Below are 27203 nucleotides of genomic sequence, written 5' to 3'. Positions count from 1 at the left end.
ACTGTTCTCACTTGAGAGGTGAGCAGACTGAGGCTCAGAGTTCTACTAAATAGCCCAAGGTCATGGTTGAGTGTGAGAAACAAAAACCCACTCACCTGACAAGCGAGTTGGCTTGTCACAAGTTCCTACCTACTTCCTTCCAGTTCTTCCTTCCCTAAAATCATCTAATTTCACATTCAGTCCTGGCCTCTGTTCATCTGCCCACTCAGGAGTGTTGGTTAAAATAATAATCCCGTATACTGACCAATAAGAATGGACGCTGGTCATAGCAATGGAGCAGGGGCCTGAGGCCCCCTGCTGGGCGGGGTGCTAATGTTTACTTGCTGAATGGTATGAGGTCCAGCAAGTCCCAGATGGTTGGAGGTTGGCCTTCCCTGGTTAGGGGCAACGACTACTTACTAACTTTAACAACCAGCCTCGGCACAGTGACATACAGCACCTAGTGATCAGTGTTGCATCCATCCACTCATCCATCTGTTCATTTACCCATGATTCCCATCCATCTGTAAACCTATCACCCCACACTGGCCCCACCCACTAGGATGCACTGAAGACTGTAGGGGAGCATCTTTGAAGTCAAAGACAAGCTTCCTTCTCCCTAGGAGCTTACGCTGGGGAGTTGGGGAGCCAGGACCGACCCATTCAAATGTTAAACAACAGCCCAAGAGGTGTCTCAGGGAAGTTCAGGACGGGTTGCCTAGTGCCTGGCATGTGCCTGAAGGGTTCAGAGCAGTTAAGATGTTGTGTATGTGGGTGAGGAAGGAGAGAGCAGGGAGGCTGTCAGGGTGCAACTAGCCTTTGAGCTGGAGCTTTGAGCAAATGATGGTAAGCCTCTCAGCTTCTCCTTGGCCCGGCCTCCTTCTCTATCCCTAATGTCCAGGTCTGAGTATTAGTTTGTTGTGGGCCTGCCTACACGCTCCCTCAGAAACCAGAGGGCAGGGACCCAGAGGTGCCGCTTACTCTGATCCTGGACTCTCTCTTGGGCACACACAATGCCTCCTACAAGGAAGGAGCCGGCCTGCTGTTGGGTTTCCAGCTCTCCCCCTCTACCTTCTCTTTCCCTCACTTTCCTTCCAGGGGCTGTCAGTTTAACGGACAGGTGTTTAATTCCAGCCTGTCAGGCGCCTGGAAATGCCAGCCTCACTGCACATCAGTTGGTGGAGTTTGCTTTTAAAAGAGTGGCAAGAAACTGAACTCTGCTATCTGCAGCTGAGCCCTCTCTCTGTCTCCATCTCATTGGCAAATGTGGTTGCACCTTTCTTGCTGTTTTCCATTGAGGCACCTGAGCTCTGGGAAGCAGAGAAGGCAAAGAGCCTCTCCAAGTGCCTCCAGTGGAGGTTGAATGCCTGAGTGCCCAGTGTGACCAGCTATGTCCTTGGCATGTGCTGGGCCTGCTTTTTAACTATTAAGTCATGCCATAGCTAAAACACACTGCTTCTGCAGCCCTGGGGCAGAGAGGCAGCTGTCAGCTTCTCCAGCCGGTGCAAGCTGCTGCTTCTTTCTGTATCCACCCTGCTCCGGTATGAGCCAGGAACTGCGTGCTCACCTCTGGCCTGGGAAATACATGGAAGCAGCCCCAGGAATCTGCCCACAGAGCTCTGGCAGCTTAGCTATAGGGGTTAGAGCATGGTCCACAGTTCACCGTGTAATGCTACCACAGAAGGACTAGCCAACCAGCTCCTCTATGAGTCTTTGGGAGAGGGTGTCAGGGCTGGAAGACCAGAGGTTAGAAAAGAGAACCTATCTTTGGAGGTTGGGGATAAAGCTTGAGGAATTGGGTCAGAAGTAGGGGCCTTTGGGGCATATCAACTAAAGCCAGAGGACAGAGTTCACAGCCCAGCTCAGGCAATGAAAGCACTTGAGTGGCATCTCAGAGGGGTGCTGGGCTCGCCCTGGCACATGGCTTCCCTCTAGTTCCTTTTCTGCCCTCCCATGCCCATTTCCCTCCTGCTTGCTTATCTATTCTTTTTGCTTTGCCATCTCCTACCTGTCCCTCACACAGACCTCCACCCACCACATACCCCAACGAGGCATCACAGTTCCTAACGAAACGGAACCACTGCCAGATGAAATATATTACTATTAAATACTTAATTCTTCTTGTGAGCAGAGAGCAGGCAGTATGAATACGATTATTAAAGAAAATTACTTTGGCTGATCAGATATTTCTGCATACTAATTTCTGACCCCTCTTCCCTCACTCCCGCTTCTTGTCCCTTAGAGACCAGGACAGATAAAATTCCATCACAAATAGCTGATTACTGAGGCTTGCATTAAAAATCACATTTTCTCCCCGCCTCTCCCTCTCTGGAGCCTTTTCTACGCTGATGTCCTTGCTTGAAGAAGGGGTGTCCCTAGATAGCAGCTACCACTGGACAACATCTAGGGAGACCCTATTTCATCCTTCTTCTCCTCTCCCCACACATTTTCTCTGATATCAGCAGATCCACTTTTCCAGCTAGTTCCCTAAATGGCCAGAGATCCTGCAAGCTCCAGGGCTCCTGCTGTCAGCTCCTAAAGCATCTCATCACAGCCTCTTGCTCCACTGTTCTGTGCTTAAGAACATGGTGGGGCTGCCCACTAACCAAGATGGTTGACTTTGCACCAGTGGGATGTCAAGATCTTAAGAGGAGAACAGGAAGTGGGATCAGACCCCACCTTAAAAGGGAGGGACTTCCTAACTGTTCAGAGCTTTTTGATTGGCTAAGCTTTAGACCTCTTTGTAAATATCTGGGGAATACAAAGTGAGGGAATTCATTCATTCACCCATTAAAATCAGCAAACTTGTGTGTGTGTAGAGATGCACATATGTAACTCCAATGTCTAACTCAAAATTACACTTAAATTTTGTATGCCTTGGTTTTCTCATCTGCAAAATGGGGATAATAGCTGTGCCTACTTCACATGATTGTTGTGAGGATTAATGAGTTAATTTACAAAAAGCATTTAGAACACTGCCTAGCACTTAACAAGTATGATGTAAGGGTCAGATATCATTACTATTATTGTTATTGTTACTATTATTACTATTGCTATATATAATTTTTAAAATGTACTCTCCACCTGCTCACGAACGACTCTTCCCCGTAATTCCCTATCAGAGAGCATTTCCCCAGGCCCCTTTCCTAGGTTCCCACTTGGCTTAGCAAGGTTCTCAGTGCCTCCTGGATCCCCTTCTCAATGACCCCTTGACCCCACTCTGAGACCTCCACCTTGGTTCCAACCACTGGTGCCAGAGCAATTACCAGGGTTCTGGCAATCAAGGGTGGTGAGGGGAGGGAGCTAAAAATACACCCATTTTCCACAGTCCCATAAGCCTTCAATTTACCTGCTTTTATAAAAAGATGCTTCCTTAGGTGTCACCAGCAGAAGGTATAATTACAGCCTGGAAATGTTAATTCCCTTGCTCCTGATATGTGGATCGTTGCTCTGCAGGGCTCCTGTCCTCCTCAGAGCCCTGGGAGGGGAGATGGGCAGGCTGTGGGAGGGAGTCAGAGTGGGAGGCAATGCCAGGCCTGAAGGCCAGCAGGGACCACCCTAAATGAGAACAGGAAGCAGTGGAGGAGGTGCCTTCTCATACCTGGCTACCCCCAGGAATCTCCCAGGCGGCTGGGGCTGGAGAAGGTGGACACTGAGCTAGAGACAGATGTGGGGAAGTGGGAACTCTAAGGCACCTGTTTCAGATCAGTGAAACTGAGCTTTATCAATGCTCCCCAGAACTCACTTACCCTTTTTTTCAAATGAGCTAGTTGTACTGTTTTCCCCTCCAGGTCACAGTGAAGTGACACCGCTTTGGGAATGCAGAGAGGACCTATAGGTCACATAGACAGTCATTCCTAATGCATTCTCCCAGTGGGCTTGAGTGTTTGCTCTGGGGCAGGTAGTGGGCCAGGGTAACAGAGATCACAGTGCAGATAGGGAGGAGATGAAGATAGTCATGGTAGGGTGTGGCCAGGGCTGTCCATAAGTAAGCAAAGGGTGATCCAGGGACCAGGACGGAGCAGCCTCACTCAGACAAGGGATCATTCTTGAGCTTTTTTTTAGATGAATTTATTTTTTCTTGAAACAGATCTCACTCTGTCACCCAGGCTGGAGTGCAATGGCGTGATCTCAGCTCACTGCAACCTCCCCTTCCCGGGTTCAAGCCATTGTCTTGCCTCAGCCTCCTGAGTAGCTGGGATTACAGGTGCCCTCCACCATGCCTGGCTAATTTCTGTATCTTTAGTAAAGATGGGGTTTCACCATGTTGGGCCAGGCTGGTCTCGAACTCTTGACCTCAGGTGATCCGCCTGCCTCAGCCTCCCAAAGTGCTGGGATTACAGGTGTGAGTCACCATGCCCAGCCCATTCTTGAGCTTTGAAGGACAAGCAGGGTGTGGCTTGCTAGTCTCCTTGCCCCCATCTGTCCCCCTTCAGTTTATCCACACATGATAGCCAGAGGGATTATCCTAAAACCTAAGAGAGATCATGTCATTCTCTGCTTAGCATCCTCTAATGGTTCCCCATTTCACTCAGAATTATCACAGTGGCCTCAAGGCCCTATTCATCCTGCCTTCCGTGCTGCAGTTTCGGCCATAGCGCTCGGTAGCACCTACTGTTGTGTATTATAGTCATCCATGGGGCAGGACTCCTCGCTGATACCAAAATCCAGGCACCTCAGGTCCCCTATATAAAATGGCATAGTATTTCTACATAACCTGTGCACATCCTCCCATATACTTTAAATCATCTTTAGATTACTTATGATAACTAATACAATATAAATGCTATGTAAATAGTTGTTGTATTGTTTAGGGAATAATAACAAGAAAAAAGTCTATACATGTTCAGTACAGGTGCAACCATTGGAAGCTTAACTACATTTTCTGTCTATGTTTGGTTGAATCCACGATGCAGATGTGGATATGAGGGGTGACTTCTTTGTTTTGTTTTAGTCTCTATCCCTCACCATGATATAAAACTCCATGAGGACAAGGATTTTTGTCTGTTTTGTTCCCAGGGTTCAGAACAGTGTCAGGCACACAGTAGGTGTTCATTAAGTGTTTGTGAATGAATGAGACCCTTCAGGAAGGATTTCCAAATACAGGGCAGAGTAAATGCAAAGTGCAGTGACATGGAAGGGCCCCATGCATTTGGGAAACTTGAGTTCCATATGCCTGGTGCATAAGATGCTGGTGGAAAAGAGGAACAGGATGAGACCAAGGCCAGTGTGGCATTTTTCTATGGAAAAGGCAGAGGAGAGCAGTGACATGGTTATATTTGTGTTTCTGGAAGATTCCATGGGCTGTTGAGAGTGGGTTAGAGCTGAGGAAAGCTGGAGGCAGAAAGACCAGGAAGGAAGCTGTGTAGGCATTCAGGGGAGAGGATGAGGCCCCTGTCCAAAGCAGGGCAGGCATGGACAGAGGTGGGTTTCTAAGAGGCATAGGGGGTCTGCAGTGAGAAGCAAGGTGCCAGGCCTCTTCCCCCTTCTCCAAAACAGGTCATCCTGCTCCCCAGCGGAACCCCACTCCCAGCCAGGCTGACACCCATTCCGAGCCTGGGAAACCCTTCCCTTCAACACTCCACCCAATCCCTTTCTCTGGCTCCCATCCCTCTGTGTCACACGGAGGTCCTCTGAATGACCACAGCATCCCTCAGTAGCCACTCCTGCCATTGCTTGTCCCCACCTGTCATGAAACATTTCATTAGGGTGTTTCTTGTGAACTTCTTGAGGGCAGGGACTGTGGTGTTTCTGTTCCAGACCTGACAGAATTGCACAGTGGTTTAGAGCCTAGGACTTTTGTCTTGGGCAATCTTGGATTTAAATTCTGAGTCTCCCACTTAGTACCTAATTGACTTTCAGTTATGTCCCCATCTGTGAAATGGGAATACAAGTTTTTTAATTTTGATTTTTACTGTTTTTTTGTTTGTTTGTTTGACAGTCTCTCTCTGTCACCCAGGCTGGAGTGCAATGGCACGATCTTGGCTCACTGCAACCTCTCTCTGCCTCCCGGGTTCAAGCGATTCTCCTGCCTCAGCCTCTGGAGTAGCTGGGATTACAGTCACACGCCACCATGCCCGGCCCAGGATTGCTCTGAGGATTAACTGAGCTAATGCATGTAATAGATATTAGCGAGATGTAAAGTGCTCTTATAAACTCTCAGAGCATCCTGTACTCCTGCGCTGCACTTCCCACGCCTGTAAATACTAAATTAACTGCATCTTTACGGCTGGCTTTCTTCCCCACTAGACTGTAAGCACCACGAGGACAGGAGCCAGCATAGCCTAGCATGATTCCTCAACATAGTCACAGTTGTTAAATAATTGTGCTGACTGAGTGGATTGCTGTATTACTAAACACTTAACACGTTTAATTCAACTGAAACTCAGCTGCTAAAGAAGAGAGAATTTTAATCAATCCAAATTGGCCATGGTTCTCCCCAGGACCCCCAGCGCTTGTGGGAGCACAGACAGAGTGGACTTCCCTAGAAGACAGCGGGCGGGGCTGCTGGGCTGGGCAGGTGGGTGGGCAGCTGTTTCAGCACACCCTTTCATAGAAGGGGAATATGGAAGTCTGAGCCTTGAAACTTTGACCTGGGCCCAGCCTAGGGCAAGGTAGGTGCAGCCTGCAGGGTGACCTGGCTGAGTCCAGAGTGAGGTGGCTGCCTTACCCCCCACACTCCTGCTTTAACTGGAAGATGCTGGGATCAGAGGGAGGGGTGGGGCTCAGCCTGCCTGACCCTCTGGGGAGCTGGCAGGCCTGAGATGCTGCAGAGCACTGCAGGTCCCAAGGCTGTATATACATAGGGCCGGGAATGTTTATTTTTCCTTATTGACTTTCTCCAAATAAACCCCTGCCCAGCAGAAAGGGGCTCCCAGCAGCAGCTGTTTACCCAGTGTTTGCGATAAAGAGGCTTCTCCATAGCAACAGGTGGCAATGTGCAGCTCTCGGGGAACATGGCAGGGCCTCGCCGCAGGGCTGTGTTTACCCAAGGGGAAAGAAAAAGGGGCAGAGGGAGATGGAAGGAAGGAGGGGAGGAAAGAAGGGAGGAAGGAAGGAAGGGAGACAGGAAGGGAGGAGAGAGGGAGGCAGACCAGGAGACTGTGGGCTTGGGAGTGAACAGGAGGGTCCAGGGAGGAAGCTCCAGAAGATGGAGTTTGGAGAGTTTCTGTCCTCAGGAAGCTTCCACTGAGAGTTCCTGGTGGGCCCAGAGGAGGGAAGGCTGTCAGGTGATGTGTGAGAAGTGCGTGCCCGGCTAGGCTGGGGTAACTCTGAGCGGGAGTACCTTGCATAGGAGCCAGGGGGCACCTGCTCAGCACAAGCCTGTGTGGCCTGGTCAGAGTGTTAGTCTAAGTCATTGTCTACTGTGTGTGTGTGTGTGTGTGTGTGTGTGTGTGTGTGTGTGTGTGTGTGTCCATTCTGCCCTGGGAGGGAGGTTTTCGTTTTCTAAGACTGCTGTAGGAGCACACAGTCTTGGTGTCTTAAAGCAACAGAAATGTATTGTGCCAACTAAAATGAGCAGCAGGGAGACCAACTCTCCAAAACAAAGGTTTATTTGGGAATAGCAGGGGATTGCAATCTGGGATATGTGTGCTATAACGGGTCATAGGCCCATAGTAGGTCCAAGGGGGTTGGGGCCAGGAGGAAGCTTTTAAAGACAAAAAGGAGAAATCGTGTAAGCAGTTTTGAAACAAAGACCATGGGTTACAGGGTCTCATAGGAATTGGCATAAGCTCTTTGGTGAAGACACCCATTGTCAGGCAAGTGTCCTGGGGCAAGTGGCTTATCTGGAATGCTGCGATTCTGAGGAATTCCTTGCATAGTTCCCATCATAGACATGTATGGATGAGGGCCCCTTCTTCATGGCCCCCTGGCTCCATTTTCTTAGGGTTTGACAGTGACTGTATTTCGATTCTAATAACTTTCACAGTTGTCTCACAGTTCTGGAGGACAGAAGTCTGAGATTAAGATGTGGCAAAGTCAGTCCCTTCTGTCGGCTCTGAGGGGACTATGCCTCTGTTCCTGGCTTCTGGACTGCTGCAATACTTGCTGAACCTTGGCTTGAAGACACCTCACCCCAATCTCTGCTCCCATCATCACATAGCATTTTCCCTATGTGTCTCTGTGGCTAAATTTCCCTCTTGTTGTAAGAACACCAGTTACTGCATTTAGAGTCCACTCCAATCCAGTATGACCTCATCTTAACTGGATTACATCTGCAAAGAGCCTATTTCCAAATAAGGTCACATTCATAGGTACCAAAGGTTAGGACTTGGCATCTTTTTGGAGGACACAGTCGTACCCACTACTGGCGGAGTTGACATGAGGGGAGGGACAGCTCTCTGTAAGGCTGGGATAATGAACCTGCTTGCAAGCCTCTCAGCAGACAGCTTCTTCATGCTCTTGCCATTCCTTCTCTTGCAAAAGAAGGCGGTGGTTCTGGGGTGAAGAAGGGGGCCCCACCCCACTGTCTCATCTAGGTGAAGTCCTCAGGCAGCGGGGAAAGGAGGACTTGAGGCATAAGGAGTGAGTTGCAGGTGACTTCGGGAACCTGGTGCCCGTGTCCATGTCTTACTAACTAGTTGTGTGACTTTGGACAAGTTACTCCTTCCCTCAGTGCCGCTGTGTCCTCATCTGTACCAATGATACCCGCCCCACAGAGTTGTCAGAATTGTGAAGCCCTTGGAACGATTCTGATACATAGCAGGCACCACCCGAAGTATGGCCATTCTCAGTATTTTCCACAAGCCTTGGTTTTTCCACTGGGAGTGCATGGAAACCCAGTTAGGAATGCCACACCAGGGTGCTGCCCATTCCTGCGGAAAGCAGTGACCCAGGCACCAAGATGGGCATGATTTGATGTGGGCATGGCCCTGGCGGAGGAGTCTGTCCCAGAGACCTGGTGTGGGTGAGGACATCAGTGGGAGATCTTCAAGCTGGAAGCAGGGCACTCCTGCCCAAGCAGGCAGATGCACACCGGCACCCCACTCCAACTCACCCAGTGTGCTCAACCCCGAGACTCAGCAGCTGAGTGTGTGAAGGGAGTCAGCGACCAGATTGAAAGCACACACACACGTACACACTTGCATACATACAACTCACAGATATAGATGCTTGCACACTTCACAGAAATACACACACCTCACAGACACACATACCTTATAGACACACACCTTATACACACAGCTCACAGACACACACACGGCTCACAGACACACACCTCATGGGTACACGTACCTCATAGACACACAGCTCACAGATGCACACACAGGCATATCTCACACACACACATACTTTATAGACACACACCTCACACACACAGCTCACAGACACACACCTCATGGATACACACACACAGACTTTATAGACGCACAACTCTCACACACAGCTCACAGACATACACCTCATGAATACACACACACACACTTTATAGACACACACCTCACGCACACAGCTCATAGACACACACCTCATGGATACACGTACCTCATGGACACACAGCTCACAGATGCACACACAGTTCACAGACACGCATACCTCACAGACACACATACTTTATAGACACACACCTCACACATACCTCACACACACGGCTCACAGACACACACCTCATGGATACACACATACCTCACACATATACATTTCACACACACACCTCACACACACGTCTCACAGACACACATCACAGACACACACATCTTATGCACATACCCATCACAGACATGTACACACCTCACACACTTCACACACACACACCTCACACACAGACCTCACAGACATGTCGTACAACTCACACATACCCTTCACATACACACGCACCTCACACACACACATTTCACACACAGACACACACACACACCTCACAGACATTCCCCGCCCACCACACATACGCACAGATGCAGACTTCAGCCACGTAAGAACCCATCTCTAGCCCGATGGGTCCCAAGAGTCCACACAGCACAGCAAAGCTCAAACGTATTTGTTCATGCGCCAATCTTTCTTGAACACCTACTCTGGGCTAGGCGCTGTTGGAGGAATGGCCGGAGACGAAACATGAAGATTTCATTTTCGTCAGGGGGACAGATGTAAGAAAAATGAATAAGCAAATTATATTGTACATTACAGGGAATTTAGTGCTATGGAGAAAAGTGAAGGAGGAAAAGGGATTGTCGGGAGGCTGTAATTTAAAATGCATCCTTCACGCCTTCCTAGGGTCCCCTTTTCCGACAACCCAAGGCCAAGATGTGAGCTGAAGGCCCGCAGGCCCCAGTCTAAGCCACTCTCCTCTGAGTGGGATGGGCTGGGGACAGCAGCCAGAGTTGGACATTTGCCTGGTGCCTGCTGGACTGGCTCCTGCAGCTTCTGTCAGGGTCCCCAGGAGCTGGCGTCCCTGCAGCGGGGCGGGCAGGCACCCCCCAGAGATCTGTTGCTCTCTAACTACAGTGTGTCACCCTCCTCGTTAACTATTCTCATCCTCATTACAGGGAAATGTCCTCGCACTCAAACACAACCACCACGCAGCGCAGTTCCATAGCCCCGCGGAGAGACAGGACATTTTTCTGGAGCTGCTGGAGAGAACAGTCAGAGAAGCCTGGGGAGGAAGAGTTGATGCCTTCTGGAGTTTCTTGTGGCGGGTGGTGGGTGGTGGGGGGAGCCCTTTCCGGGTGTCAACTTTTTCTTTCCTCTCTTCCCCCAGCTCCTGTTTTCATCCTTACCAATGAGAATTCAGCTAATTGTTTACTCCAGGCTTGTGCCTGTCACCAACTAACCCAGGAGGCCCTCAGAGCCAAGCCCTGCCCTTTGCCTCATTCTTTGTAACTGGACACCTGCAAGAGTGCTGGGCACACAGTAGGTGCTCCATAAATGCTACTCAAATGGATAAGTAGGATAAATAAATGCAGAGTTTGGTAGTTCAAGGTTGGGCGCAGTGGCTCACGCCTGTAATCTCAGCACTTTGGGAGGCCAAGGCAGGCAGATCGCCTGAGGTCAGGAGTTTGAGACCAGCCTGGCCAACATGGTGAACCCCCCACTCTACTAAAAATGCAAAAGTTAGCGGGTGTGGTGGGCACCTGTAATCCCAGCTATTTAGGAGGCTGAGGCAGGAGAATCGCTTGAACCCGGGAGACGGAGGTTTCAGTGAGCCAGACTGCACCATTGCACTCCAGCCTGGGCAACAAGAGTAAAACTCTGTCTCAAAAAAAAAAAGAAAAGAAAAAAGAGTTTGATAGTGCAGAAGTGTGGCCTATTGCCTGAGGCCCACAGGTGGTGCAGTGGGACCCAGGAAGGGTGAGAGAGAGACAGGAGCTTCCCCATCCCTCCCTCAAGCAGCTGAGCTCATCTGGAATCATAGTCCTTGGAGTTCCACCATTATAGAATCTTTCCTTTGTGCTAATGATGACCTCTTCCTCCCAGGGCTCTCATTTAAAAGACAAATGTACTCCATAATGTATTTGGTGATCTGTGGTGTGGTGTGAAATGACCTGAGGCAAGTCCTTGAACTCTCCTGGGCCTCAGTGGCCTGGTCTGTCTAGTGGGGACATGACTCAGACCTACCCCAGGGTTGCTGCCCTGGTTCCATACTTTTCCATGTATTACCTCCCTCTGCGGAGCTAAGTCCCCATCCTAGGGGCTGCTCAGTGAATGGTGGATCATGTCAATATGTGAGGCAGGCAAGTGTGTCCTCTGACAGGACGTGTCACTGAGGTGATACCGGATGAAGGAAGAATCTGCTTGACTGATCCTTTTCCCCAGGGCTGGCTGGCCTTGGCTTTGTGGAAGAGACTGGGGTAGGTAGGGGTGGGTCTGGAAGGCAGGAGAGAGGAGAGCGGGGGGACTTAAAACCTCAGTCATGGGCTTGGCTCCTGTGAAGACAAGGCTAGGGCCAGCATCTGGGTGACTGGCAGGGAGAAGTGGGAAGGTGAGGAACGGCGGGGACCAGCAGGTTTACTTCCCGCCGCAAGCGATGAGCACAAGGGAGACAGCTAGAGAACAGAGCCCTCAGAAAGTTTCCAGCACATTCCTGCTAAAATTAGCCCCAGCTTGCATACGCAACTCTATATTTAAACCAGCGGCCTGTCAGAGTCACTGTGTTGTGCCGCCAGCACACGCCTGCGGGTTTGGGGCCCGGTGCCGAAGCAGGGGTGCAGGCAGCATCCCAGGGCCTGAGCGAGCCGCCCTCTGCCTACCCACGCCTGCTTGTGGAGAGTCACCCGGGGGTGCATGAGTGGGCGGGCGTAAGTGTTGCTCCCAGACAGTATGTGAGGCCTCCTGCCTCTTGTCCCCGCTCCAGGGGCAGAGCCCCAGCAGGACAGACGGACACAAACACAGGTACCGATACAGCCACATGCAGAAGGGACAGGGCAGACAGGTGTAAAGAACACTCTGGGAGAAAAGGGAGGAGAAAGAAGACAGCGATGGAGAGAGGGGAGAGGGCAGAACGAATAAGCATCTGTGGAAAAGGCAGGAGGGAGGGAAACAGATTCAAAGACAGCTTGACACGCAGGTGGTATGCCCCACACTTGGGCTGTCCAGGAGATGGCGTGGGGGTGGGGTCTCAAGGGGAGCTCAGCCTCTCGAAAGAGCCTTAGCCTTCTGACCACCAAGCCACCCACACTCACACTCTCTAAGGGCGAGGGGAGCCCAAGCTGCTCCCCTGCTTCCCTGCCTGCTGCCCGGCCCTCTCTAGGGAAAGCACTGGCTGATAAGAAGCCACATTTTACCCGAGGCTTGGAACATTAACTTCGACACTGAAAAGGGGATGTTTTATTACCCAGGAATATTTCTGCATCTCTTCAGAGATCTTGCTCGGCCCCCACCCCAGCAGCAAGCCTCTTTTGACAATTAAACCCAGCTCTCTCTGGTTAATCCTAATGATCTAGCCCTGTGTAGGCCCCAAAGAGGGGATTTTATACGTGGGCAAGTGTCTCCTTTATCCTGTGTGGCTGACCCCTCTCCCTTGCCTACCATTTTGTGTGAGTGCATGTGTGTGTGTGTGTGTGTGTGTGCGCGCGCTGCCGTGTGCATGTGCGCATGCTGCGGACAGGTGGGGCGATCCCTGGGCCCTCCCACCAGGCCCTTCCTGCGGCTCTATTCCCCTTTGGTTGCGGACCTGCAAGGATCCTCAGAGAGCAATCAGTCTCCGATAAAATGACAGATGGGACAACTGAGTCTCAGAGAAGGAGCGTGACTAGCCCAGGATCACTCAGGGAGTTCACGGCTGATCTGGGCCTGAATCCCTTTTTCCGTACTTTCCCGTGTGTTATTCCCCTTCTGCAGAGCTAAGTCCCCATCCTCCTTAGTGTGTGCCTAGCTTGGACATCCCTTCTCTTTGAGACCCAGTTCTAACTTCCAGGCAGGGTGAACAACTGTCCTGGTTTTCCTGTGACTGCCCTGGTTTCAGTATTGCAAGTCTGAAGCTCAGCACCGGAAGCTAGGATGGTTGACCGCCCGATTTCCAGGTCAAAAGGATGACTCCTCTTCATGGGCTCCCAGAAATATTCAATGATAATGCCTAACATTTGCTGACCCTCTCTACATGTTAAGCACTGCTGTTCTAAGCCCTTAACACAGATTCATTCATTTAATTATCTCAATAACACTTTGAGGTGGACACTGTTGACCCATTTTACAGATGATAAAAGGGAGATAGATAGAAAGAAGTAAGACAGCACACCTAGCTGAGAAGGGGAGAGGCAGGATTTAAACCTGAGTGCTTGGGTCCCAGGAGAAGCACTCTTAGCCACTAGGCTATCCGATCCTCTCTTAGAGAATGCCTGTTGCGGTTAGTACATAAGGCTGTCTCCTTGCTCAACCAAACTCAGCAGGGCAAAGTCCCATGTGTCCTTAACCTCTGTGCCTGGCACAGTGCCAGGTGTGTGATAAGCACTAAGCATAATTTTGTTGACTGGGTCCATGCCTGGCCTGCCCTCCACTCGGCTGGCACTCATTCCTTTCCCTTGTCCCATACCCTGGGCCTGTCATCTAGAGGGCCCCTTCTCAGCCATCTTCTTTGCTCCTGTTTGGCATCTTCTCAGCTCCTTAGCCCTATATTCCAGTGTCTTGAAAGAATCTGCTTTCTTGTGAGCCAACAAAGTTCAGAAGAAACCCATGCACGTGTTCTGAGAGGTTCCAGACTGAGTCTTTGGCCTGAGGCCAACCCAGCCCCGCCCTCTCTGCATGGCCCCAAGATAGGAGTGCCCCAGATTCTAGCAGCAAGACCCTGTTGGCGACCTCTGGCTTCTGGGGCCTCTGTTTCAGCCACCCTGCTCCCGTGTGGGTGCAGCCCCCACACAGGGTTATGGGTGGTACAACTCTTGCGGTTTACTCTGTTTCCAGAAACCCTTAGTGAAATTACAGCTTTAATTAAATACAGCTGGCTGTATGTTATACTCTGTATAATTATCACTTAGACAAAAGTTCAAACAAAGTTTATTGTAAATTCTATTTGACAGAAACAACTGGAAGAGCTGAGGGCTATTGGCCTGCCTGAGTGACAGAGAGGTGGAGCCACTGCTGCTCAGTGGGAATGGAAAGAAGGAGCCCTCTGAGGGATACAGGTGTGCATGGGGCATTTGGGAAGACAGCACCCTGGATCCAGGTCAGACTAGGTTGCCATGTGATACTGGACAAGTCCCTGCCCCATCTCTAGGGCTCAGTTCCCTTCCCTGGGGTAGAGAGGTTTCATTTCTCTTGCAGATATTGACTGAGAGCTACTATGTGTCAGGCACTGTTGTAGGCCCTGGAGCTCGGTGGCCAACCAAGCAGATAAAAGTCCTGACTTCAGCTGGGCTCAGTGGCTCAAGCCTGTAATCCCAGCACTTTGGGAGGCTGAGGCGGATGGATCACCTGAGGTCAGGAGTTCGAGACCAGCCTGGCCAACATAGTGAAACCCCATCTCTACTAAAAATACAAAACATTAGCTGGGCATGGTGGTGCATGCCTGTAATCCCAGCTACTGGGGAGGCTGAGACAGAATTGCTTGAACCCAGAAGGCAGAGGTTGCAGTAAGCCGAGATCGCATCATTGCACTTCAGCCTGGCCAACAGAGCCAGACTCTGTCTCAAGGAAAAAAAAAAAAAAAAAAAAAAAGTCCTGATCTCATGGAAGCTTAAAGGCAACCAATTCATGCATAAATAAATGTGTAATATAATGTCAGGTAGCAATGAGTAACCTGAGGAAAAATAAATCAGGGTAAGGCGAGAGAAAGGGATAATGGAAGGGTGAGGAGCACTATTTCAGGAAAGGAACATGAAAGGTGACATGAAGCAGGGATCTGAAGAAAGTGAAGGAGTTAGCTGTGGTAAAATAAGGAGGAAAAACACTCCAGGCAGAGGGAGGAGCCTGTGCAAAGGCCCTGAGGCAAGAACCCATTCAGCATGTTCAAGAAAGGGCAAGGAGGCCAGAGTGCTTGCAGTAGGAGAAGGGAAGAAAAAAGTGGTAGAAGATGAGGTCTGAGGGGGGAGTGGAGCACAGAGCATGTAAGACCTGGCAGGCCTTAGAGAGGACTTTAGATTTTATTCAAAATGTGATAGAAGGCCACTGTGAGGTTAAGAGAAGGAGAGTGACATCATGATCTGATTAGGATTAGATTCAAAGTAGGATCACTAAAGCCCCTCCCAACTCTGACTTGCCCTGACTCTAATGCCCATTGCTGAGGAACAAACCACCTCAAAACTTAGTTGCTTAAAACAAAAAATTTATTATTAACTCTCACAGTTCTGTGGGTTGACTTGTTCCAGCTAGGCAGTTCTTGCTTGGGGTATCTCACCTGGTTCCCAGGTAGTAGCTGGAATGGAGTTGCTTGAAGGCTGGATTGGGTGGGATGTCCAGGCTCTTCTTCACTAACATACCTAGCATTTTAGCTGGGGTAGATGGAACAGCTGGGTGCTTGGCCAAGCATCACTTTCTCTTTCTTCCTGGCCCCTCCACATGGCTAGCTTGAGCTTCCTCACGGCATGCTGGGCTATGGCGAGTTGGACTTCCTATATGGTGTGTGACAGGGACCCTATCAAGAGACCCAGGCAGAAGCTGCAAGGTCTAGCATTAGAAGTCACACAGTGTCTGGCCGGGCACGATGGCTCATGCCTGTAATCCCAGCACTTTGGGAGACCAAGGCGGGCAGATCACGAGGTCAGGAGATCGAGACCATCCTGGCTAATGGGGTGAAACCCCGTCTCTACTAAAAATACAAAACATTAGCTGGGTGTGGTGGCATGCGTCTGTAGTCCCAGCTATTCGGGAGGCTGAGGCAAGAGAATCGCTTGAACCTGGGAGGCGGAGGTTGCACTGAGCTGAGATTGCGCCACTGCACTCCAGCTTGGGCGACAGAGTGAGATTCCGTCTCAAAAAAAAAAAAAAAAAATCACACAGTGCCACTTTTGCCACATTCTATTGGTTACCCTGGGCTGTCCCAGATTTGACATGAGAGGGGTCAGTCCTACACAAGAGTATATATTTGAGGAGGTGTGATTCATGTTGAGGTCATCGTTGGAGACAAGCTGCTATAGATACCCACTAGAAAAGCCAGATAAATAATAATAGCGACTATTCATTGAGAGCCTACTATGGGCTGGGCACTGTTCTGGTTTCCATATTTTAATTCATTTAATCTTCATATCAACCTCATGAGGTGGGTACTATTGTTAGCCCCACTTTACAGATGGGACGTCTGAGGCACAGAGAGGTAAGCATCTTGCCAAAAGTCACACAGCTAGTGAGTGGGAGCTGAGATTGAACCCACGCTGTCTGGCTCCAGAGTCTTTGCTCCACCAGACTCAAGTTTCCTTGGCTGCTCCAAGAGAGACACTCCAAAACAGCTGGAGACAGAGGGACCCTTCCCTGGTATCCCCAACTTCCCTCATCAGGGCATAGTGGGTGTCTTTGATTGAATTGGTTTGCTGAAATGCACAGCCTAAGGGAATTTTTCCAGGTGTGAAAGGAGAAGGCTTTCTGAGCCCGTTGCCCAAAATACATCCACAGCCCTTGAACTTGGTACGTACAATCACAGGTCCATGACACTTTTTTTTCTTTATTTCTTATTTCTTCTTCTTTTTTTGTTTTTGAGATGGAGTTTTGCTCTTGTTGCCCAGGCTGGAGTGCAATGGCGCGATCTTGGCTCACTGCAACCTCTGCCTCCCGGGTTCAAGCGATTTGCCCGCCTCGGCCTCCTGAGTAGCTGGGATTACAAGCACCCACCACTACGCCTGGCTAATTTTTTGTATTTTTAGTAGAAACAGAGTTTCACTATGTTGGCCAGGCTGGTCTTGAACTCCTGACCTTCAGGTGATCCACCCGCCTCAGCCTCCCAAAGTGCTGGGATTACAGATGTGAGCCACTATGCCCAGCAACACTTTTGAATGGAAAGGAATCTTCAAAATCAAGCCAGGTGTGGTGGCATGAACCTATAGTGCATGCCCACTACGGGGGCTAGTTCAGAGTAGCCCCAGCTACTCTGGATGCTGAGGTGAGAGGCTTGCTTGAGCCCAGGAGTTCAAGACCAGACTGGGCAACATAGTGAGATCCTGTCTCAAGACGAAAAAAGAAAAAAAAAAAGCCCAAATTGTATGGTATGGACATGAGAACCGAAATTGAGAGAGTCAGGGACTTGCTCAGGGTCACCACATTAACTTGGCAGTGCCAGGGACTTGCTCAGGGTCACCACATTAACTTGGCAGTGCATCAGTAGGATTTGCCCCATGACCATACGTGGGTGGGGTCCTCACTGAGGTCTGTGCGGGTGGAAACTCCAGTACAGGGCAGGGCTGGAGTGGTAGCCCCAGCACCTCTCTGCTCCAAACTCAGGCCACGTGGTGTGCATGGCCCTGCGCCTAAGCGTGTGCAACTGCGTCAGAGCTCTGAGCTGGAGAAGGCAGGCATGAGCTTGGGGTGCAGTGGCACCCCATGATTCTTATTCCAGGCATGGGGTTTCTGAAAATATGCTGGTAGGAGCAGGGAATGAAAAGGGTTGGGTCTGCCATTTCCAAATCCATGGGCTTCTGCAAGGGACTGGGTCCCATACTGACTAAGTCCAGAGTGACTATAAGATCGATGTTGAACCCCAGCTCTCCATGGGGGTTGAGGAGGTTGGGTGAGCTTGGATGGGCCTGCCATGTTTTTTCCCCCCAGGATCTCAAACCCGTGGCTGTCCTGGTTTGGAGACAGGGGCAGACTGTTCTGGTCTCCAGGCCGCCGCTGTGGACCTGCTGTTTTTCCTCCTTCTGGGCCCATCACCTGGCTCGGAGCATGGAGCAGGTTGCTAACTTCTGCTGACACTGGCAGGGGCAGCCGCTCCCAGCCTGATACCTCATGGCAGCCACACTTGCACAAATCTTTAATTGTTTAGTTTAAAGAATTGTGTTTTGACCGCGAGGGGATTTTGGCTGGAGCTCAAGAAGTGATAATGATATTTCGCTGCCAAGACGTCTCCTTGGCTCTCTGTGTGTTAATGTGCACTTTCAAGACGCTCCAATTAACTGCATCAGCTCTCAGGGAGAGAAAGGGAGAGGGAGCGGGCAGGAGAGAGAAGGGAAGGAGAACACTGGCGATGATTGGGAGGAGGCGATGGAGAGGAAAAGAGACAGCCCACCCCCCCAATCTTTTTACTAGCAAACAAATTGGGGGGGATGGGTGACAAAGTTTTGAAGATGAGCTCCAAGTGAAGTGGTGTCTCATGCTTTGGAGGGGGAGACATTGATGAGACAGGGAAAAGTCTTGAGGTCAGGTGCCCTGGCCCAATAGGAGGCCTCGAGGGCACCTCCTTGCCAGGAGTTCTCCAGGTGGACCTGTTTTCAGTTGTCTCCACCCTGATCTCCCACCTCTATCCAAGTCCTCCACGCAGGCCTCTGCCTACATGCCTTCAGTTTCCCCAACACTCAGAGACGGGAGACAGAGCTAGTGCAGACCTCTGCTCTGATTCTAATCCAACCCTGCTCTCAGCCCATCACCACTCTGGCCTCTTCTCTCCTCCCTACTCTCCTCACCTTCTTCCCAGCTACACTAATCTTTTAGCTGTTCCTTGAACGAGCTGGGCGTACTTACACACGCCAGGGATTTTGCATTTGCTGTTCCCTCTGCTTAGAATGCTCTTCACCAAGATATTTACTCGGCTGGCTTCCCTAACCCCTTGAGGTTTTGACTCAGATGTCACCTTCTCAGTGAGCCCATGTTTAAAATTGCAATGCGTGCCCTATTACTCCCTAACCCCCTTCCCAGCTTTGTCTCTATAGCATTGACATACAATTTATTCTCCCATTTACTTTATTATCTGCTTCCACCACTGGCATGTCACCTCTGAGGGGGCAGAGTTTTGTGTTGTACTCACTGTTATATGTTATTTCCAGCAAGTAGAACAGAGCCTGGTATATGGGAGGTCCTCGATTAATATTTGTTGATTGCTAACAGAATGAACTCCGGACTTACCATTATGCCTTGTACCAACACATTTCCCTACCTTGAATCCTAACTCCAACTCCACATCCACCCTAACCCCACCTCCCATGACTCTTTCTTTACCCTCAAATCTCACTCACTCTCTTACCCCGGATTCAACCAGCTCTAGCCCTGCCCTTCACCTCTGCCGTTGCCCGTGCCCCCACCAATAAAATCTTGACCTCTTCCCCTGTGCAGTTGGCTCCTTCTTAATTAAATGTCCTCTGCCCTCCCTGGAAGCCTTGAGCTCCCATGTGCTTTGAGATTCTGCTTCCATCCTAGGCCTGGAAGCAGCCCAGGGAGGGAGGAGGGCTCCCCCATTGAAAATCTCAACAGGGGCCATCCCAGGCTGCGGATCTCCAGGGATTTCCTGGACTCCTTCCTCCACTCCCACTCACGCTGGCCCCAGGGATCCTCAGTTGTTAGAAGAGCTGTGGAGAGGGATTCTGGGCAGGCGCTGTCTCAGACCAGAGTGGCTGTGGGAGGCTCCTCCCTGGTTAGTTTACTTTACACCCCCTCCGAAAGCGAGGACTCCCTCGTCTCCCCTGATCTCTGTCTGCTCCCAACTCAAGCATGAAAATGACTTTTCCACATGCTGGGCCTTCCCCCATCCCCTCGCACACACTCACACTATGCTCAGAAGCTTCCAGAATCCCAAACCCGCCCCAAAGCTGCCACTTTGCAAAGGCTTCCTCTAAAGCCACATCTGTCCCAGAGAGACCCCCGAAAGTGGAGGAAAGGGGTCGGCTGGCTGGAGTTGGGGCCCGGAGGCTGCCCAGATCAGGAGGAATGGGTGAGGGCTGAGGTCCCAACGGGATGGTCAGAACCCTCTCCCCGCACCTCCCTCCTGCTTTTACCCCCACCCTCCCGCTTCCCCTCCCCCCCCCACCCCTCCCCTTCTCGTACCCTTCAGGCCTCCGAGGGAGGGTCAGCTCTGCCGGCTCAAGTTACAAGAACTTGAAGACAGGAAGATTTAGCGAGGGAGCCGCGGCCAAGCACAGTGCGCTGTTTGTCCGCCTTTGAAACCAGAGGCTGCGAGGCGGGGGTAGGGGGCAGGCGGGAGGCCGCGGGACACTAGGGTGAATTATCGCTCCTTTCGGGTTCTGACTTCGAAGGCTCTGGCCGCCCTCCCCCAGCCCCAGCTCCTGTTTCTCCAGGTGCTGGGGTGTTTTCCTACGTGTTAATTTGCCCCAGTTGACGCGCCCATTCTTGGCCCCCGGCCCCCCAAGGGGAGACCAGCCCGCCCTGGGGTGGGTCAGGAGGGGCCTTGGGGGTGGAGAGACGCGTGAGGTGCGGCCCGAGCCCTCAGGGTCTAGCCCCGGGGCTGGGAGGGACAAGAGACGGGGTGGGAAGTGTGCGTTTGGAGTGGGTGGGTGTTAGAACAGACTGTACATTGTCCTCTCCAGGCCGGCGCCCCCTCCCCACAGCCCCGGCGAGTTCCTGGACGGGCGCGCGCAAGCACAGCGACCCCTACCGGCTCCTCCACTCTCCCCAGCCACCTCCTCCAGGAAGCTCGCTCGGGCTTCCGGGACCTGGAAGAGTCCTGTAGAGACTGTCTGAGAGATGCTTTTGGCCTCCCAGACATTTTGTCCTTGGGTCCTCACTAATACATCACGAGGTCAGTTTGGCTTCTAGGTCTATGACTTTTAGAGACCACATTTTAGAGTGGGAAACAGGCTCTGAGAGGCTCGGCAGCTTGCCCAAGTCCACACAACTACTGAGAAGCAAGGTTGGGATATGAACTAGGTTTTCTGAGCTCCATGATCTTTCCCCTGGTGCATGCTGGAAGGAGAGGGGAGCACAGAGTGGGTGTTGGGGTGGGGTGGCAAACTCACCCATGGGCAGGGGAGGTGCCCAGCAGCCTGGAAGGCTCTGAGGAATACCAGGGACCAGCCTGGCCTTGCCCTTTGACCTGCGTACTCGGTGTTCATTGCTCCCCTCCCAGGCTGGGCTGGGGCCAGGACCTGAGGTTTGGGGTAGGGTCTACCCCCAGCCCCAGCTAACCCTCAGGGTGGCCCCTGTGGGGATGCCCATACCTCCCTACTTCCTCTCCTCCTACAGTCCCTGCCCTGCAGGCCTGAGGCCCAAGTAGGGGGGCAAATTCCTATTAATTAGGCCTAGGAGTCGAAGGCTGCGGATTAGAGAGGGGCTTGTTCCCCTGCAAAAAGCCAAAAGCTGGCAGTACAAAGGGTCTCCTAGTGACAGGGCCTTTTCCCACTCCTCTTCCTGGGCTGGGTAGGGGTGCGGGTAGGAGGCCAGGGCTGGACTATGAGAGGGAGGAGGGAGGGGAGCCATTTCTGCTGACGGTTCTCCCTCTCAGGCCCGCTCTGCCTTGACCAGTCAGACAAGGGCCTGTGCCCTCTCCACCTCCAGGCTTCTCACCCTGACGCTTGCTCACCCCCCTCCTTCCCTCCTTCCTGGCTGAGGCCCCTCTCACCTTTCCTTCTCTTCCAAAGACTGATAGAACCACATCCCCAGGCAAGCCCCTATTTGTCTGTGGGGGGCACTGATGCACCCCCTTCCCATACTGCCCCTCCTCTTTCCCTCTTACCGCACATGCCTCAGCCCTTAAGAGCCCTGTCAGGTGAGGGGATGTGGGCAGGCAGGTCAGGGACAGGAAATGGTTACCTCCCTTCCTTGCCCCAAATTTCCAACCTTCTGAGCATAGACCTGTAATAGACAAGGAAAGAAGACAGGCATTCAGAATTTGGGGTGGTCACATCTTCCCATCAACCTGTCTGTCCATCTTCTCCCTTCACCACCGCCGACTGGAAGCCAGGGCTCAGTCCCTGCCCAAGACCAAACCCCGCGTCCTCTCCCCAACACACACCTTGCCCTTACCCTCCCAGACTTTCTGACTTTTGAGGCCCTGTTCCTTACCTCTTGCTCCTGGCAGAACCCCAGGGTAGAAGGGCAAGAAGGGTATCAAGGAAGGGGTGGGCACACTACAGCGGGGGAGGGTTCAAAGCCCTTCTCACAGCCCCTCTTGGTGGCTTGGTGTAATTTAACTGGATCAGACAGCCCTGGATTTGAATCCCACCTTACCACTCACTACTGTGGTCCTGGGCAAATTATTTAGCCTCTCTGGGGCATGGTTTCTCATTTGGAAAAGAATCTTGTCTTTTGCTAATCTATCCTTGCAGTTGGTTGTGAGGGCAAGCTGCACCCGGTACGTAGTAGGTGCTTTAGAAATGACGCTGTATCCCAGGCTTGTTGGCTAGTGAGAGCTCGTGTGGGCACTGGGGAACGCAGAAGGAAGAGAGGAGGCAGAGTTTCTGGGTGGGATAGCACCCAGCACTCCTGATGCTAGGGGCTCTGAAGAACTCTGGGTTTGTGCAGGGCATGGCTGGAGATGCTAATTAAATAGTCAGCAGCATCTTCACTGAGTTCCAGTGGTTTCCCTGGCAATCAGTTAGGCGTGATGGAAGATAGAGAAAGGTTCATCACTGATCCAATAGATTTTTTAAACACCTTCTATGGGTCAAGGCCTATGTTGGACCAATTGTGCCAGGGGAGATGGCCTGTCTTCATCATGTTTATGTTCTAATAAAGTGACACAGACAGAAAGAAAGTCAGTGGACGTGAAAGAACACTGCAAAAATAATGGCAAGTAACTCTAAGCAAAAGGAAGAAAATTAACAAAGGGCTGACTGAGCTGGGTGGCCACCCAGGAGGATGCCATGTAGATGTGAGCTCTACAGGATGAGAAAGGGCTGGGAATAGGCCAGGTGCAGTGGCTCACACCTGTAATCCCAGCAATTTGGGAGGCTGAGGCGGGCGAATCACCTGAGGTCAGGAGTTTAAGACCAGCCTAGCTAACATGGGGAAACTCCATCTTTACCAAAAATACAAAAATTAGCCAGGTATGGAGGCATGCGCCTATAATCCCAGCAACTTGGGTGGCTGAGGTATGAGAATCCCTTGAACCCAGGAGGCGGAGGTTGCAGTGAGCCAAGATCATGCCACTGCACTCTAGCCTGGGTGACAGAGTGAGATTCTATCTCAAAAAAAAGATAAAGGGTTGGGAGCAGCCTGACAGGCAGAGGGGCAGAAGATGTAGGGCTAGAGCCAGTGAGGCAGGAGAGATCTTGGCCGGTTTGCAGAACTGAAAAAAAAAAAAAAAACAAAACCAAAAAACCCCCAAACCCTGGTGAGGCAATGATTGCAGGAAATGAGGGGAGAGTGGCAAGTCAGGAAGTGGGAGAGGTGGCAGGAGACTAGAGGCCATGTTGTGTGCTGTCAGCCCAGTCTAAAAAAAAAAAATTATATATATATATGGATTTGACCAAGCAGGACTGGCTAGTGGGTTGGAGATGTGGGGCGAGGAGAAGGGAGGAATTGAAGAGGACACGTTTGCTTTGGGCTGGAGTGTTTTGGCAAATGTGGTGCCATTTCCCGAGGGGGAAGCATGAGGGAGGAACACCAGAACGCTGCTTTGGTGGGAGGTGAACAGCTGGAGAAATGAATTGGGCGAGAAGATTAGGGCTGGAGATAAAATCTTAGTGTCTGGAGCCATATGGAGTCTTTAAATCCGTGGTCATGGATGAGACCACCTGGGGAAGGTGTGTATTGGGAACAGACTGGCAAGGTGGCTCACTTCTGTAATCCCAGCACTTTGGAAGGCCGAGGTGGGAGGATCACCACAGGCCAGGAGTTTGGGACCAGCCTGGGCAACATAGTGAGACCCCTATCTCTACAAAAAGTAAAAAGAGAGAGAGAGAGAGAGAGAAACAAAGGGTTCAGCCTGGGCCAGGAGGAAGACCTAGAACTATAGCAAGGAGAGGCCAGCAACAACAAGTGAGGAGTGTGTGGGGCTGGGAGGTAGGAGGGGCTGGCAGAAGGCCATGGGAGCTAGGAGAGGAGATGGTTTCAGGGGGCACCTCCAAACATGGCTAAGGCTGCTGGGAAGGGCAGAAAGTCAAGGACAGGAAAATGACTGTAGGTCTTGACCATATGGAGGTGGTTTCTGCAGAGCATGTCATGATTGAGTGCTGTGGCTGCAAGTTCAATGGCAGGAAGGAAAGCTCTCTCTAGCTGCAGCTATGGGGAAGAATTCCTGGGAGAGGCTCCCCGAGGGAGTAGAGGGTGAGAGGTTGAGTTGTGTTTCTTCCTCTGCCTTAAACCCTTTGCTACATGCACCCTCTCCCCCTGCTTCCTCAACACCCCAAATCCTGCAGTACCAACCATTCCAGTTGCAGCAGCAACTGCTAGCCAACCCCAGTATCCATTCTCTTCATCTTCCTTAGTAATAGAATCACTAATTCTGCTGTGCATGTGCCCACTCAGAATAAAGACTGTATTCTCTGGCCTCCTCTGTAGCTAGGCATGGCTATGAGACAGGGTTTTGGCTCATGACATGTCAATGGAAGTATGTAGGGCTTCCAGGGAATCTTAAATGGAAGGAGAATCCTTCAAGGTTCCTTTTTGCTGCTGACTGGAATGTAGATCTGATAGCTGGAGCGTTAGCAGCCCTGTTGAATCATAAGGTGGAAGCTATGTACTGAGGAAGACAGGGCAAAGTAACAGAAGGAGCCTGGAATTCTGATGACTTTGTGAATCTGCCCACCCTTCTTTGAGCTTCCCATATATGAAATTTCTGCATGTGTCAGAGAAATAAACTTTCATCTTTTATAAGTAATTGTTATCTTAGATTTTCGGACACTTGGAAAAACCTAATCCTCACTGAAATACTAGCAAAGCAGAGATTTCCTGGGAGCAGAGGGAGAACAGGGAGTCACGGCACCCTCTCACTTGGGCTTTAAGAAGTGTATAGCCCTGACCGTAAAGAACAGGGCCAAGACCGTACTCAGCTCCTCAGACACTGGTTCTCTGGAGGGCTCAGGAGCAGCCTGGGAGCCTGCCCTGGAGGTTGGTGACCAAAGGGTCTGGTCAGTCAGGACTTGAGAAGCGCACCCAATGTGCCCATTATCCCATTTGCCCCTTACCTCCAGCCCAGTCTGCTCCTTACCCATCTCCACTCTGCTGTAAGCCGAGGGAGGCTGAGCCCTCTGGCTTGTTTTTGGGTTTGGCCAATGTGAATAAGCAACTGGGGTGGGAGAGAGGGAGGAGAGGCTCAGCCCTAGGTCTCTCCAAGACTGCAGCTGCTGCAGGCAGCCCCTTTCCCAGGCCCCAGCCCTCACTGGTCGCATACAGTACTTTTGCTTCCTTTGCCTCTCAGGGTGATCATGGCATCCAGTGTTGTTAGTCTCTGGTGCCTCAATATCCCTAGTTCCTCCCCTTAACTCTAGAAATATGTCTTTATGTCTTTAGGTCTCTTCACTTGAACCAGTTGGGGGTAAACTTCGTTTCCCGTCGTGACCCTGCCTGATACAGCACCTTCTGCCCAGGCCACAAAACAAGCCATGGCCAGCGGGAGGCCAAGGGACAAGAGAGAGATTGCCAGAGGGCAGAAACACACAGGACAAAATGGGGCAGAGAAGCAGAAACAGGGAGAGATTAAAAAGGCAAAGGCTGGCCGGGCGCTGTGGCTCATGCCTGTAATCTCAACATTTTGGGAGGCCTGAAGGAGGTGGATCACTTGAGCCCAAGAGTTTGAGATCAGCCTGGGCAACATAGCAAGACCCCGTCTCTGCAAAAAAAAATTAAAAAATTTAGCTAGGCATGATGGTTCACCCCTCTGATTGCCTGATTGCTTAAGTTCCAGGCTGCAGTGAGCTGCGATTGCACCATTGTACTCTGGCCTGGGCAACAGAGCCAGATCCTGTCTCTAAAAATAAATAAATAGATAAATATATAAGACAATGACCATCATCTTTCTTCATAGCCAAGAACCCTCAGCTTCGAGAGATGAACTTTAAGGACCTCCTCCTCCCCAGGAAGGGAGATATGGAGCTCATTACAAACCAGAGCCCAGAGCCCCACTTTACACCTGCAGGTTCAGTAACTAGAGAATCAGGGACCCAGAGTCTGCATTTTCAATAGGAACTAGAGGGGATTCTAATGCTGGGACCACTGGGGTGCATTTTGAGGAACATTTTCTTACACATTTAGCCTAGCCTTAGAAAGAGTAGGTTTCACAGAACACTGAAAAAAAAAATCTCAAAAGAGAAAATGTCAGGAAGAATTTGTGCCTAAAGAAACCAATAACCAGGGCTGGGCGCAGTGGCTCATGCCTGTAATACCAGCACTTTGGGAGGCCGAGGTGGGCAGATCACCTGAGGTTGGGAGTTTGAGACCAGACTGACCAACATGGAGAAACCCCATCTCTACTAAAAATACAAAATTAGCCGGGTGTGGTGGCACATGCCTGTTAATCCCAGCTACTCGGGAGGCTGAGGCAGGAGAATCGCTTGAACCTGGGAGGCAGAGGTTGCGGTGAGCTGAGATAGCGCCATTGCACTGCAGCCTGGGCAACAAGAGTGAAACTCCGTCTCAAAAAAAAAAAAAAGAAACCGATAACCATAATAGCTGACAAAACCTGCGCTGTTTGGCTCAGCATCATGAACGCTTGTTATAACACCCTGCATGGAGTGGGTGCTTGGGGAGGGTCGGTGGTGCCACTGTGAGGAGATACCTGGTCTTCAGGCTGGCAGCAAGCAGAGGCCTGGGAAACCTCAGTGCAGCAGTGTGACCAAGAAAGAACGAAAGAGTCCGGCAGGAGTGAGGAGCAGTTGCCAGAACATGTGAGCAACCAAGAACACCTTTAGAGGAGGTAAGTGGGACCAAGTTTTATTTTAATGTTTTAACATTTTTACTCTAGAAATTTCAAGCATAGGCCGGGCGCGGTGGCTCACGCCTGTAATCCCAGCACTTTGGGAGGCCGAGGCGGGCGGATCACG

At 51.1% G+C, this 27203-nt stretch overlaps 2 long non-coding RNA genes across 2 annotated transcripts in view, besides 3 other annotated features; both read left to right on the top strand.

Annotated features, from left to right (window-relative positions):
- Positions 1-10895, top strand: part of LOC112267957 (uncharacterized) — a 52113-nt gene extending 41218 nt beyond the window's left edge. The window contains exon 3 of the long non-coding RNA XR_002956346.2: positions 10464-10895. This is a non-coding gene — a long non-coding RNA (uncharacterized LOC112267957). The remainder of the gene's footprint in view (positions 1-10463) is intronic.
- Positions 6410-7197: an enhancer, noted in NCBI's record as "H3K27ac-H3K4me1 hESC enhancer chr6:41424325-41425112 (GRCh37/hg19 assembly coordinates)". NCBI's record gives its function as "activates a minimal SCP1, AML or CMV promoter by ChIP-STARR-seq in primed H9 embryonic stem cells {active_cell/tissue: H9 hESC(primed)}" and the evidence as "EXISTENCE:reporter gene assay evidence [ECO:0000049][PMID:30033119]".
- Positions 7639-7933: a silencer, noted in NCBI's record as "tiled region #8968; HepG2 Repressive non-DNase unmatched - State 4:PromP". NCBI's record gives its function as "represses a minimal TATA promoter and a strong SV40 promoter by Sharpr-MPRA in HepG2 cells {active_cell/tissue: HepG2}" and the evidence as "EXISTENCE:reporter gene assay evidence [ECO:0000049][PMID:27701403]".
- Positions 10891-13769: an enhancer, noted in NCBI's record as "VISTA enhancer hs2104". NCBI's record gives its function as "enhancer in: heart[4/8]" and the evidence as "EXISTENCE:transgenic organism evidence [ECO:0001131][PMID:17130149]".
- Positions 19374-26158, top strand: LOC107986538 (uncharacterized). The gene is made up of 3 exons (XR_001743878.2): positions 19374-20197; positions 20811-21022; positions 25675-26158. It is a non-coding gene; the product is annotated as an uncharacterized LOC107986538 (long non-coding RNA).
- The last annotated feature ends 1045 nt before the right edge of the window (positions 26159-27203 follow it).

Source organism: Homo sapiens, chromosome 6 (assembly GCF_000001405.40).
Source record: "Homo sapiens chromosome 6, GRCh38.p14 Primary Assembly".
NCBI lineage: Eukaryota > Metazoa > Chordata > Mammalia > Primates > Hominidae > Homo > Homo sapiens.
This window is presented reverse-complemented; position numbering and strand designations above follow the sequence as displayed.